Source organism: Homo sapiens, chromosome 4, assembly GCF_000001405.40.
Source record: "Homo sapiens chromosome 4, GRCh38.p14 Primary Assembly".
Classification (NCBI taxonomy): domain Eukaryota; kingdom Metazoa; phylum Chordata; class Mammalia; order Primates; family Hominidae; genus Homo; species Homo sapiens.
This window is the reverse complement of record NC_000004.12, coordinates 84663711-84677421: the sequence shown is the minus strand read 5'-3', so window position 1 is coordinate 84677421 and position 13711 is coordinate 84663711. Positions and strand designations below refer to the sequence as shown.

General features: G+C 40.3%; 1 protein-coding gene across 27 annotated transcripts in view; it reads left to right on the top strand.

The window, feature by feature from the left end:
* The window catches only part of WDFY3 (WD repeat and FYVE domain containing 3), a 297094-nt gene extending 289269 nt beyond the window's left edge, over positions 1–7825 (top strand). For all 27 annotated transcript variants that reach the window (XM_011531759.3, XM_047449858.1, XM_011531763.4 and 24 more), the window contains 2 exons: positions 26–223; positions 4431–7825. In XM_011531759.3, the coding sequence (XP_011530061.1) occupies positions 26–223; positions 4431–4554 (322 nt within the window). In that variant the 3' untranslated portion in view covers positions 4555–7825. The remainder of the gene's footprint in view (positions 1–25; positions 224–4430) is intronic.

Genomic DNA, 13711 nt, shown 5'->3' with positions numbered 1-13711 from the left:
ACCTCCTCTGTCGTGTCTCCTGCAGGGATCACAGTAGGATCCTCGTTGGTGACAGTCGAGGCCGAGTTTTCAGCTGGTCTGTGAGTGACCAGCCAGGCCGTTCTGCTGCTGATCACTGGGTGAAGGATGAAGGTGGTGACAGCTGCTCAGGCTGCTCGGTGAGGTTTTCACTCACAGAAAGACGACACCATTGCAGGAACTGTGGTCAGCTCTTCTGCCAGAAGTAAGATAAGATATCTGCTTTTTGAATTTACATTGATTAAGCTCTAAGGTTGTTAATTATGTCCTGCACACAGGTTCTGATTTGCCCTGGCGTCCCCACTACAGTATGCCTTGTTGGTATGAACCAGTCTTCACTTTTTCTGTTCTTCTTTATTACTACAATTAGGAAATTTTTCTGTCATACAAGTCACAAACACCTTGTCATCCATGACACAGAATGCACATATGCTAATATTTCATCGTATTTAATTTAGAGACCTGTATGTGAAATGATTCTATAAACACTATAGATACATTGTAAGTATCCTCTTTGCACCTTTCACCAATCACACCCATTCTCCATGTTTTTATGCTTTCAGGAACATGTGTTGCCTCTGTAAACATTACATCATACTATTTTGGTGTTCTCAGCTTTACTTTTCAGCTTTACGTACTATACTGTTTTTGCCCTTCTGTAACTTTCTTACTCAACATTGTTTTTGAAATCCATTTATATAGATATCTTATTGTAATATATTCATTTTAACTACTGTCGGTTATTTTAATTATATGAATTTATCATCATTATTTCCCTTTTGATGCCCTCTCAGGGTTTTTTTTTTTCTATTTTTATCAGTACTATAAATAATGCTACAATGCACATCCCTATAAATGCCCTTCTAATACACAAGCTAGAATTCCTCTAGAGATGGAATGAAATTGATAGAACACAGACTTATTCTTGATCTTAATTAGATATTGCCAAATTACTCTTCAAAACAGTAGTGCTAGTTAATACTACCTCCACTACCTCCAACAGGCCATGAAGGTTCTCCAAATTCTTAGTCATGCTTGGTACTGCCAGACTTTTTCCACTTTTGCCAATCTGATAGCTAAAAAATAGTGCTTTGTTGTTTTAACTTGCAATGCTAGTGAGACAACATCTTTTCATGTTTGTTGGCTATTTGGGTTTCCTTTTGGGTACTTTGCCCTTTTTTTTTCCTTGAGGAGTTCTTTTATATATTCTGTGCTGTACACCTTTGTTTTTTATATATCTTGCAGATACGTTCTGCCAGTCTGTGGCTTGTGTTTCAACTTTGTATATGTTTTTTCTGTCATCTACAAGTTTTTAAACTGGTTGTAGTCACATGTATTACTCTATGATTTTTGCTTTTTTGTGCCTTAAGAATTCTTTCTCTGTCCTAGGATCACAAAGATAATCTTGTTTATTTTCTTTTAAAGGTTTCAAAGTTTTATTTTTCACATTTAGGTCTTTAATTCATTTGTAATTTATTTTGGGGTATAACATGAGGCGAGGATCTATTTTTCCCCCATATGAAAGGTCAGTGGTCCCATGGCTATAGATTTGGTTGATATCTCTGTCCTACACCTGGGTCCCAGATACACATCCACAGTCGTTACTTTTTCTGCCAGACAACAGAAAGGATTCCATGGACAGTACACTTTAAGGCTTATATTGCCTTACTCCAGAGATGCTTTCATAGAAAGCATATTATTCTCAACTTGTGTAATTATGAGTCCATTCCTGAGGTTTTATAGGCAGCATTGGCTTACTGGTATGGGCATAGTCTTTGGGTTTACACTGACCAAATGCTCACTGTGCTACTTTCTGTTGCCATAATGCCAGCAAGTTACCGAGCCTCTCTGAGCTTTGGTTTCTTTATCTGTAAATGTGGGTAAGAAGACCAGTCCTCTTAGAGCTATTGAGAGAATTAAATGAGATCACATATATGAGTGTTGTAAAGCACCAAGTTCAGAGTCTGGCAAAACAGGTGTTCCATCATTTGATTCCTTAAACCTTTTCTGCTGGGCAGTCTGGTTCAAGATGAGGGACCCAAAATGTTGCAGCCAGCCATTTCCTGTGGGAATTTCTGTGAGGCTGGCAGAGGATTCTGTCTAGTGGCTCTGTGCTTTGAAAGGCCTGCTCTATAAAACCTATAATGGGACCGGGCACAGTGGCTCATGCCTGTAATGCCAGCACTTTGGGAGGCTGAGGTGGGCTGATCACCTGAGGTCAGGAGTTCGAGACCAGCCTGGCCAACATGGCAAAACCCTGTCTGTACTAAAAATACAAAAATTAGCCAGGTGTGGTGGTGAGCTACTCAGGAGGTTGAGGCGAGAGAATCACTTGAACCCAGCAGACAGAGGTTGCAGTGACCCGAGATCACGCCACTGCACTCCATCCAGCCTGAGCAACAGAGCAAGACTCCATCTCAAAAAAATAGATAATAAATTTAAAAACCCATAATGGGTTTTATAGAGCAGGCCTTTCAAAGCACAGAGCCGCTAGACATATATATATATATCTTTTATTTTTATTTTTATTTTTTTTGAGACGGAGTCTCACTCTGTCACCCAGGCTGGAGTGCAGTGGCGTGATCTCGGCTCACTGCAGCCTCCGCCTCCTGGGTTCAAGCGATTCTTCTACCTCAGCTTCCTGAGTAGCTGGGACTACAGGCGTGCACCACCACGCCTGGCTAATTTTTGTATTCTTAGTAGAGACGGGGTTTCACCATATTGGCCAGGCTCGTCTCGAACTCCTGACCTTGTGGTCTGCCCACCTTGGCCTCCCAAAGTGCTGGGATTACAGTCATGAGCCTCCGCACCCAGCCTATATATATATATTTCTTGAGATGGGGTCTTCCTCTATCACCCAGGCTGGAGTACAGTGGCACGATCACAGCTCAGTGCAGCTTTGATCTCCCAGGCTCAAGCAGTCCTCCCACCTCAGCCTTCCAAGTAGCTGAGACTATAGGCAAGAGCCACCACACCTGGCTAATTTTTGTATTTTTTGTAGAGATAGAGTCTCACTATGTTCCCCAGGCTGGTCTCACAGCCGCGGGCTCAAGCAGTACCCCCGCCTCAGCCTCCTAAAGTGCTGGGATTACAGTTTTCAGCCTCCACACCCATCATATTAATCTAGTGATTTGTACTAGCACTCCCGTATGTATGCTGGCACACATCTGTTCTTTGTAGTGTTTAATTTTCAAAATATTGTTTAAATATAGGTAATTCTTTAAATTATCCATTGCTATTAAATGTTGGATGGAAGCTTTATTGGAAACTGACCAAACAGTGATAAGTTCTGATGAAGCAGGCACAGAAGGAAGTGCTTTCCAGAACACACAGCCTGTGGTCTCTATGGCTGAGAGCTGTTGACACTCTTGAGGGATCTGAGAGGTCCAGTGACAGTCCTTTAAACCCATAAGGTTATAGTACTTAATTTACTCTCTGGACATTTTTACTGGTAGATTAATGGACTAAACATAAATCTCCATTTCAAGGCCAGGCACAGTGGCTCACGTCTGTAGTCTCAGCACTTTGGGAGGTCAAGGCAGGAAGATCACTTGAGGCCAGGAGTTTGAGGACAGCCTGGACAATGTAATGAGACCCCATCCCTACCAAAAAAAAATTTTTTTTTTCATTTCCATTTCAATCTTCTGAAAATCCAAGCCTAAAGTGATTTAATACCACATCCTGAGTCACACCTGGCTTTATTCCAGGAATAGGAACTCTGAATACTTCTTAAAGAATTTGAACATCTCTTAAGAATAGTCTCCTTCAAACAGTTCTAGCAAGATAAATAGGAAATGAGGGTGTTGGGACTGGAAAAGGAAAGCCAGTCTAACTGTTTAAGAAATGATTAAAGAGTGGATCAATCAAAATGTTTAAAAGCACAATGGAACTTGATAGTGATCAAACTCATATTTCTTTTGGAAATTAGAAGACTCACTAATGAGTCATTAGTAATTCTCTTGAAAATAGATACTCATTAGTGAGTCTTCTAATTTCCGCTAGTGAGTTTTTCTGATTTCCAAGAGAAATATGTCAAGCTCCAGGTAAAGACATTGACATACCTCCCAAGCTTATAGGCCATGAGAATTAGTCTACACAGGTAGAATGGCCTTACATCACTGTTCAGACACCTTGGCCTCATTGTATAGGAAAATCTTAACTCTGTTTTTTTGTTTTCGTTTTTTTAATTCTTGTCAGTCAAAGAAATAGCTTCCCTGGTTTAATACTGCTTTTCTTCATAGACTGAAACAAATAATACAGCTTTCCTTTTAGTCCTTGTTCAGCCACACAACACAAACCAGTATGGCCTTTGGCATTTTACTGCAAGCTTTCCATTCGATTATTAATGTTTCCGGTGCCCATGATCAAGCATGGAGAAGACCTATAATTAATTGACTTTTCCTTTCCTTTAGGTGCAGTCGCTTTCAATCTGAAATCAAACGCTTGAAAATCTCATCCCCGGTGCGTGTTTGTCAGAACTGTTATTATAACTTACAGCATGAGAGAGGTTCAGAAGATGGGCCTCGAAATTGTTGAAGATTCAACAAGCTGAGTGGAGACCATGGTCTGTAGACCCCTTCCCGATTCTCCTGTCCCAGCTTGGAAGGCATTGAAAACAGTCTCCGTTTACACATCTCTTCATACCACGTGTTTGAAGTGTTAAAATTCAAAGGGATCATTGAATAAAACGGGTGTAGAGTACAGGAATGGGGCAGACGCGATTCAGGTGAACAGCACAAGAAGAATATGAGGTGGTTCCTAGGAGCAACACTTTCGACCTCCAGTTCTCCCTGATGACAGTAGCTGTCTCCAAGAGAAAAATCCTCACTTATTAACTCTCTTTTCTTGCATCTCATTTTTATAGAGCTACTCATCCTTATTTGGAAAAACCAACAACAAAAAAGGCTTTTAGAAAATGGTTGTAAATCTGACTTCTTTGCAAGTAACTATGTATATTGTAAATAGATATAAAAGGCCTTTTTTCTAAATAAGGACTTAACTGCCTGTAACATGAAACTTCAAACTAAACCACTAACTCAATGAACTACTTATGGTTTGTCTGACATCCCTCACTTACCAATTAATTATAAATATGTTTTTTTAAATCCCCAAAGACATTATCTGTGGTCTTTTTTTCCTTTCAAGCTCAGCCTGTGTGCCTGATGTCATTTCTTTCAAGTTGCCCACAGTATCTCCACTTAAACTAGGCTAGTAACCAAAATAATGTGGACCTTCTTTAGGAAACAGTGTGGGAGAATAGGAGTCCAGCCGTAAGATAAACTGGAAATATTTGGGCGTCTTGTACCTGGCTACGCACCACCTCAGTGTTGTTCCTACATAAACAGGGCCCCTTTTAAACTTGTATGTGGACTGCTGTTTGGTCAAAGAATACCTTCTTAGCATTGCAGAAAGGTGGTCAGATGACCAGTGTAGTGCAGGAAACAGCCCTGTCTCAACTAATGGAAATATATTTGCATGTAACCCAAAATTAGCTTATCTTGCATAGAACATAATAAGTATGTGTCTTTGGTGACACTAATGTTCTACTATAGCTTATTTTCAAACAAGGGGTAAAAAAAGGAAAGAAAGAAGTGTACAGAATTAACATATAAACTTTGTTGTAAAACTGAATCATGTCAGAACTGCTTAAAATTAACCTTTACCATTTAATGTCATCTACCTGAAAACAGTGAGATTTATACTGTATCAATGTCTATTTTTTTGTTTTTGCTATGAATATAATTACAGTATTTTAATATTTAGTTATTTAATTTGTTCTACTAGTTGGATACAGAACACACAAATCCAGGGGGATTAAAGCTGGAAGGGGCTAAGAGATTAGTTTACAGAGAAAAGGCTTGGTGGTGGGATTTTTTTAAATGTGTGTTATGTACATATATATATATATATAATATATATTAAAAATGAAACAATTAATCTAGATTTTAACATTTTCAGAAACTTAGTGATAACATTATGAACAATTCTAAAAGCCCTGTGATTTGAAAAATATAGAATCATTAATGGCCCAAGATAGGCCTTCACACCTTCACAGGTGCGAAAGGAAAGGCCTTCACACCCTCACAGAGGCATCATGCAAAGGACAGCGGCTTTGGCTTTTCCAATTTTCCATCTTTAGGCCCTGGTGAGAGGCACACTTATGCACTAAAATGCACATATATGCACATGCATTCAAAAATAGGCATTTGGTACAATGGTGATCTTGTACCTGATGGGCTGAAACCAGCTTAAGAACAAATTTGTTCTTCCTGATATGATAACTAGGTCTCCAAGAGAAAATAGAAAGGCTGCTTTAGTGCCTTACGCTTACTAAATTTAAATCTTTATTTACCTGGGTTTGAGCCTACAGTCTATTTATGATTACATATCAAAATTGATTAAAACACTTCCATTTCTAAAAGTTCAAATATACTTGTTAATAAAAGGATTATCGGCATTAATACTTTAATTTAAAGAAAAGTTGTGTTCTGTTTTCCTTTCTGTGTCTTACTCCCCCCACACTCTCCCTCCCCCATCACCATCTTCAATTCTAATAAATAATGCTGATGTTCAACAGTTGCAGAAATTGTGCTATTATGTAACTGTGGGCCTTGCCCCTGTCTGGCCCTCTAGATGATTTGTAGCAGTGTTATTCTACACTTTTTAAAAGAAGCGTCCTCCTTTTGTCCATGAATCATGTTTACCCCATACCCAGTGGCAGAGGTGTTCTTTAAAGACTTGAATATATGAATGTGTGTGTGTAGTTACTTAAAGGTTATTCCTCTTTGTAATAGGAAACTATATGGGATGAACACTTTTAAACTTTCCGACACAACTTCCATTACTAACTTTCTAACAGAACTTCCATAACTAGAAGGTGGAAACCAAAACCCTCATGGTAGTATTTCCTCTGGCAGCTGGTGCTGTGGGCAACTGTTTTGTTCAATCGGGTTTCTTTTCTTTTTGCCTCTAATGCAGAAATCAACAGAATCACTCACACATACAAGTACACTCACATACATAAACTAATTATTTCTCTGGATATCTTTCTGTGTTCCATGTAAATTTATTTACCAACATCTATTGTCAACATGTACATCTACCTTAGTATGGTCTGCATTCTTTTTCTGAGAGTACCTCATAGGGCTCCTGCCTGATCTTTGTAGTTTGTTCATTCATCCATCCACCTGTTCATTTGTTCATCCATGTATTCTAACATTTCTATGTAGTGTGCAACTCTAATGTCATGCTTTTGAAGAAGAGAATAGCTGCCCATAGCAGCCATCCGTCTGGATAATAGCAAAACACTCTAGATAAGTTATTTTGCACTTTCTTATGTATAAAGTTGGTAGAAACTTATTTTTGCTTTGTATCATTTAAATACATTTTGTTTTGGTAAATGAACTGTGTATAAAATATTTATGCCGTTAAAACTGTTTTTAGAAAGTATTTTTAATTTCAGCAAGTTTGGTTACTTGTTGCATGACTCTTAACACAGCTGACTTTTTGTGTCAGTGCAATGTATATTTTTTGTCCTGTTATTAACTTGTAAGCCCTAGTAATGGCCAATTATTTGTACAGCAACAGAAGTAAATTGAAGATACTGGCTAAGACTGGATTGATTGTGGACTTTTATACTATATTGCAGAAACCAATATCTGTTTCTTGGTGGTTATGTAAAAGACCTGAAGAATTACTATCTAGTGTGCAGTCTGTGATATCTGAATGTTCATTGTATATTTGTCTCTGATGCAAAAAGGTAGAGTAACACAATTACAATACATGATTAAATGCAATAGTCCAGGTACTTAAGTAATTTTTTTTTCATTTCAAATAAATACCTATTTACCACCAAAAGAAAGAAAAAGAAAAGTTGTTAAGTCAGTTATTCAGGGAAGGAAAAACAGAGATCTAATAACTCCCTAACTTTATGTAGTTCTTTTCTAGTTGTAAATACTTTCAGAAGCACCTGCATAAGATTGCAGAAGTATTGGCTGTTAAGGTTCCAGTTCCAGTTCTAGTTTGACTCATCCTTAAAAATCAGGCTTTCTGCAGTCTGAGCTTCTCAATTGTGCTGGATTCCCAGGGCTAATGAGTGTATGTGGATGGCAGTAAGGAGAAGCAAGCCCCTTCTGGGAGACGTGACCCTCAAATTTGACTGGACCTGTGGAAAAAGACATGTCTGCATGGTTTTGGCTCTTTTTTCCTGAGCTTTATTCTCCAGCCAAAAAGTAAGCAACAGTGTGTGTATATATATATATGTGTGTGTCTCTTGCACCCATACTATAGTCACATAAGGAATATTCCAGTGTCCTGCCCCTCACCTGGAACTACAGCAGCCGCTGTTAGCAGCTGGTCTTTCCAGTTCAGCCTTCAGTCTGAGAGTGTTAGAACTTACAATCCATTGTTCTTGTTATGAGCTTGTTTGGGTTTAAAATAGCCTTTCTGTAAAGAAGAGTTTTTAAGTTTATTTAGGCTGTTTTGATGATTTCACTTTCCCTCTTTCTAAAGATATTAAATTCATTTTAAGCTTGAACAGCAGAGCCCCAAATTTGAGTATGTTTTGCTTATTACAAATTTTACCTTACTGCAACTCTACTTGAGTGGCAGAAGATGAAGGAATGCCAAGAACTAAAACAACAGCAATTTCTTTAAAAAATTAAAAAAAAAAATGGTAAAAGAAACCTTAGAGCAGCTCCCATGTTATTAATGCTTTATTACTTATAGTTCTGGTGACGGGTTGCAGTCAAGGATGGACACTGCAGAATTCTCAGATGCAGAAATTCAGAGTTTAAAAGAACAAACATGCAAATGATTTTCAGTGAGTCCCTTGTCTGCCATTTGCTTCTCATCTTCAACAGAATTTTCCCTCCACGCCTCACTTTTGACCATTTGATGGACTTGGCCCAGCACTTGGTTAGTCTCTTTGCTTTATGAATATTCTCATTTCCTCCCACCTATTATAAAGCTCTTTTTTTTTCTTTTACTTTTGCTAGAGACAGCACCAAGCCAAGCTACCACAATAGCATGGTGTTTTGGAGATCCCTGATTTGGAATTACCACTGAGGCTTCAGTTCTAACCAGCTTGGGAATTTAGGAAGCCTCTTGTTTTAGCGCTCACTCTCTCCATAGGGTTTTCCTACATCAGTAGTTGCCTGTGAGGATGGGAATGGTCTAAGTGCTTCTTTAAACTTTTTGGTCTGAGAACTCTTTGATCCTTAAAAATTTTCAAGGAACCGAACAGCTTTTGCTTATTTGGTTTATATCTATCAGTAGTCATTGTATTAGAAATTAAAACTGAGATTTAAAATATATATGTCAACTCATTTAAAATAACAATGATAAGACCATGATGTATTAACATAATTACATATTTCTATAAAAAGTCTTTTACAGCCGAGTGCAGTGGCTCACACCTGTAATCCCAGCACTTTGGGAGGCAGAGGCGGGCGAATCACCTGAGGTCAGGAGTTCAAGACGAGTCTGGCCAACGTGGCGAAACCCCGTCTCTACTAAAAAATTAGCCAGGCATGGTGGCATGCGCCTGTAATCCCAGCTACCTGGGAGGCCGAGGCAGGAGAATGACTTGAACCTGGGAGGTGGAGCTTGCAGTGAGCCGAGATCACACCGCTGCACTCCAGCCTGGGCGACAGAGTGAGACTCCGTCTCCAAAAAAAAAAAAAAATCTTTTCCAAACAAAAAAAACAGGTTTTTTTGGCAAATTTACAACTTTTTGCAAATCTCTGTAATGTCTGGCTCAATAGAAGACAGGTGGATTCTCAAGTTTGCTTCTACATTCCATCTGTTGTGATACTTTGTTTTGACTGGATTTATGGAAAAAGACAAATCTGCATGGTTTTGGCTCGTTTCCTGAACTTTGTTCTCCAGCTATCATTTTGTGAAAAGTATGTCTATCGCACCCCTACTATAGTCACATCAGGAATATACTTTGTTTTGGTTGAAGCATGAAGAAAATCCAACCTCACACATGTATTGGTTGAAAAGGGGGTGAATATTTTTAATTTTTATGAGCTCATAAGTGTATATATTTATGAGGTACATGTTATATTTCAATACAGGCATACAATGTATAATAGTCACATCAAAGTAAATAGAGTGTTTACCACCTCAAGCATTTATTGTCCCTTTCTGTTAGGAACACTCCAATTCCACCCTTTTGGATATTTTAAAATATGCAGTAAATTGTTGACTGGAGTCACCCTGTTGTGCTATCAAATACTAGATCTTATTCATTCTATGTGACTATATTTTTATACCCACTAAACATCTCCACTCTCCACCCTCCTCCCTGCTACTCTTTGTAGCCTCTCGTAACCATCATTCTACTCTGTCTCCATGAGTTCGCTTGTTTTAATCTTTAGCTCCCACAAATGAGTGAGCACATGCAAAATGTCTTTTTTTTTAATTTGCCTGGCTTATTTCACTTAACATAATGTCCTCTAATTCCATCGATATTGTTGCAAATGATAGTATCTCATTTTTATGGCTGAATAGTATTCCATTGTGTATAAGTGCCACATTTTCTATATCCATTCATCTGTTGATAGACTCAGGTTGAGTTGAAATCTTGGCTATTGCAAATAGTACTGCAGTAAACATGGGAGGACAGATATCTCTTTGATATACTGACTTCCTCTCTTTTGTGTATATTCCTAGTAGTGGGATTGCTGGGTCATATGGCAGTTCTATTTTTAGTTTTTTTAGGAACCTCCATACTGTTCTCCATAGTGGTTGTACTAATTTACATTCCCACCAACGGTGTAGGAGGGTTCCCCTTTCTCTGTCCTCACCAGCATTTGTTCTTGCCTGTCTCTTGGATAACAGCCATTCTAACTGGGGTGAGAGGATATCTCCTTTTGGTTTTGGTTTGCATTTCTCTGATGATAAATGATGTTGAGCATTTTTTCATATACCTGTTTGATATTTGTATGTCTTCTTTTGAGAAATGCCTATTCACATCATTTGCCCATTTTTTAATAGGATTATTAGATTTTTTTTCCTATTGAGTTGTTTGAGCTTCTTATATATTCTGATTATTAACCACCCTTGTCAGATGAGTGGTTTGCAAATATTTTCTTCTATTCTGTGGGTCGCCTCTTCACTTGTTGATCATTTCCTTTGCTGTACAGAAGCTTTTTAACTTGATGTGATCCCATTTGTCCATTTTTACTTTGGTTATCTGTGCTTTTGAGGTCTTAGCCAAAAAATCTTGCCCTGACCAAAGTCCTGGAGAGTTTCCCCAATGGTTTCTTCTAGCAGCTTCATGGTGTGTCCGGAATTGGTAGGTTCTTGGTCTCACTGACTTCAAGAATGAAGCCGTGGAGCCTCGCAGTGAGTGTTACAGTTCTTAAAGGTGGCGTGTCCGGAGTTTGTTTCTTCTGGTGTTCAGATGTGTTCGGAGTTTCTTCCTTCTGGTGGGTTCGTGGTCTCGCTGGCTCAGGAGTGAAGCTGCAGACCTTCGCGGTGAGTGTTACAGCTCTTAAGGCGGTGTGTCTGGAGTTGTTTGTTCCTCCCAGTGGGCTCGTGGTCTCACTGGCTTCAGGAGTGAAGCTGCAGACGTTTGCGGTGAGTGTTACAGCTCATAAAGGCAGTGTGGACCCAAAGAGTGAGCAGTAGCAAGATTTATTGCAAAGAGCAAAAGAACAAAGCTTCCACAGTGTGGAAGGGGACCCGAGCGAGTTGCCACTGTTGGCTCCGGCAGCCTTCTTTTATTTTCTTATCTGGCCCCACCCACATCCTGCTGATTGGTACAGCCGAGTGGTCTGTTTTGACAGGGCGCTGATTGGTGCGTTTACAATCCCTGAGCTAGACACAAAGGTTCTCCAGTCCCCACCAGATTAGCTAGATACAGAGTGTGGACACAAAGGTTCTCCAAGGCCCCACCAGAGTAGCTAGATGCAGAGTGTCAATTGGTGCATTCACAAACCCTGAGCTAGACACAGGGTGCTGATTGGTGTATTTGCAAACCTTGAGTTAGATACAGAGTGCCGATTGTTGTATTTACTATCCCTGAGCTAGACATAAAGGTTCTCCAAGGCCCCACCAGAGTAGCTAGATACAGAGTGTCGATTGGTGCATTCACAAACCCTGAGCTAGACACAGGGTGCTGATTGGTGTGTTTACAAACCTTGAGCTAGATGCAGAGTGCTGATTGGTGAGCTAGAGGTAAAGACAATCCCTGAGCTAGACCTAAAGGTTCTCCACATCCCCACCAGACTCAGGAGCCCAGCTGGCTTCACCCAGTGGATCCTGCACGGGGGCTGCAGGTGGAGCTGCCTGCCAGTCCCTAGCCTTGCACCCGCACTCCTGCACTCCTCAGCCCTTGGATGGTCGATGGGACTGGGCGCTGTGGAGCAGGGGGTGGCGCTCATCGGGGAGGCTCGGGCTGCACGGGAGCCCACGGAGGGGGTGGGAGGCTCAGGCATAGTGGGCTGCAGGTCCCGAGCCCTGCCCCATGGTAAGGCAGCTAAGACTGGGTGAGAAATGGAGCGCAGTGCCCGTGGGCCGGCACTGCTGGGGGACCCAGTACACCCTCCGCAGCCGCTGGCCCGGGTGCTAAGCCCCTCATTGCCCAGGCCGGCAGGGCCGCCAAGCCCACGCCCACCTGGAACTCCAGCTGGCCTGCAAGCGCGGCGTGCAGCCCCGGTTCCCTCTCGCGCCTCTCCCTCCACACCTCCCTGCAAGCTGAGGGAGCCGGCTCTGGCCTTGGCCAGCCCAGAAAGGGGCTCCCACAGTGCAGTGGTGGGCTGAAGGGCTCCTCAAGTGCCGCCAAAGTGGGAGCCCAGGCAGAGGAGGCGCGGAGAGCGAGCGAGGGCTGTGAGGACTGCCAGCACGCTGTCACCTCTCAATAGTTTTAGGTCTTAGAATTAAATCTTTAATCCATTTTGATTTGATGTTTGTATATAGTGGCAGATAGGGAGTCTAGTTTCATTCTTCCACATATGGATATCTAGTTTCCACAACAGGATTTATTGAATGGACTGTCCTTTCCTCAATATATGTTCTCGGCAGTTTTGTCAAAAATGAGTTCACTGTAGAGGTATGGTTTTATTTCTGGATTCTTTATTCTGTTCCATTGAGCTATGTGTCTGTTTTTATGCCAGTCCAAGGCTGTTTGGATTACTATAGCTCTGTAGTTGCAATTTGAAGTCAGGTAATGTGATTCCTCCAGTTTTGTTCCTTTTGTTCACAGTGGCTTTGGCTATTCTGGGTATTTGGTGATTCCACATAAATTTTAGGATTATTTTTTCTATTTCTGTGAAGAATGTCATTGATATTTTGATAGGAATTGCATTGAATCTGTAGATTGCTTTGGGTAGTATGGACATTTTAACAACACTGATTCTTCCATTCCATGAACATGGAATATATTTCCATTTTTTGTGTGTCCTCTTTCGTTTCTTTCATCAGTCTTTTGCAGTTTTCATTGTAGAGATCTTTCATTTCTTTGGTTAAGTTTATTCCTAAGTATATTACTTTATTTGTAGCTATTGTAAATGGGATTACTTTCTTGATTTCTTTTTCATATTGTTCACTGTTGGCATATAGAAATGCTCCTGATTTTTGCATGTTGATTTTGTATCCTGCAATTTTACTGAATTTATCAGTTCTAATTTTTTTTAGTGGAGTCTTTAGGTTTTCCCAAATATAAGAGCATACCATCTGCAAACAA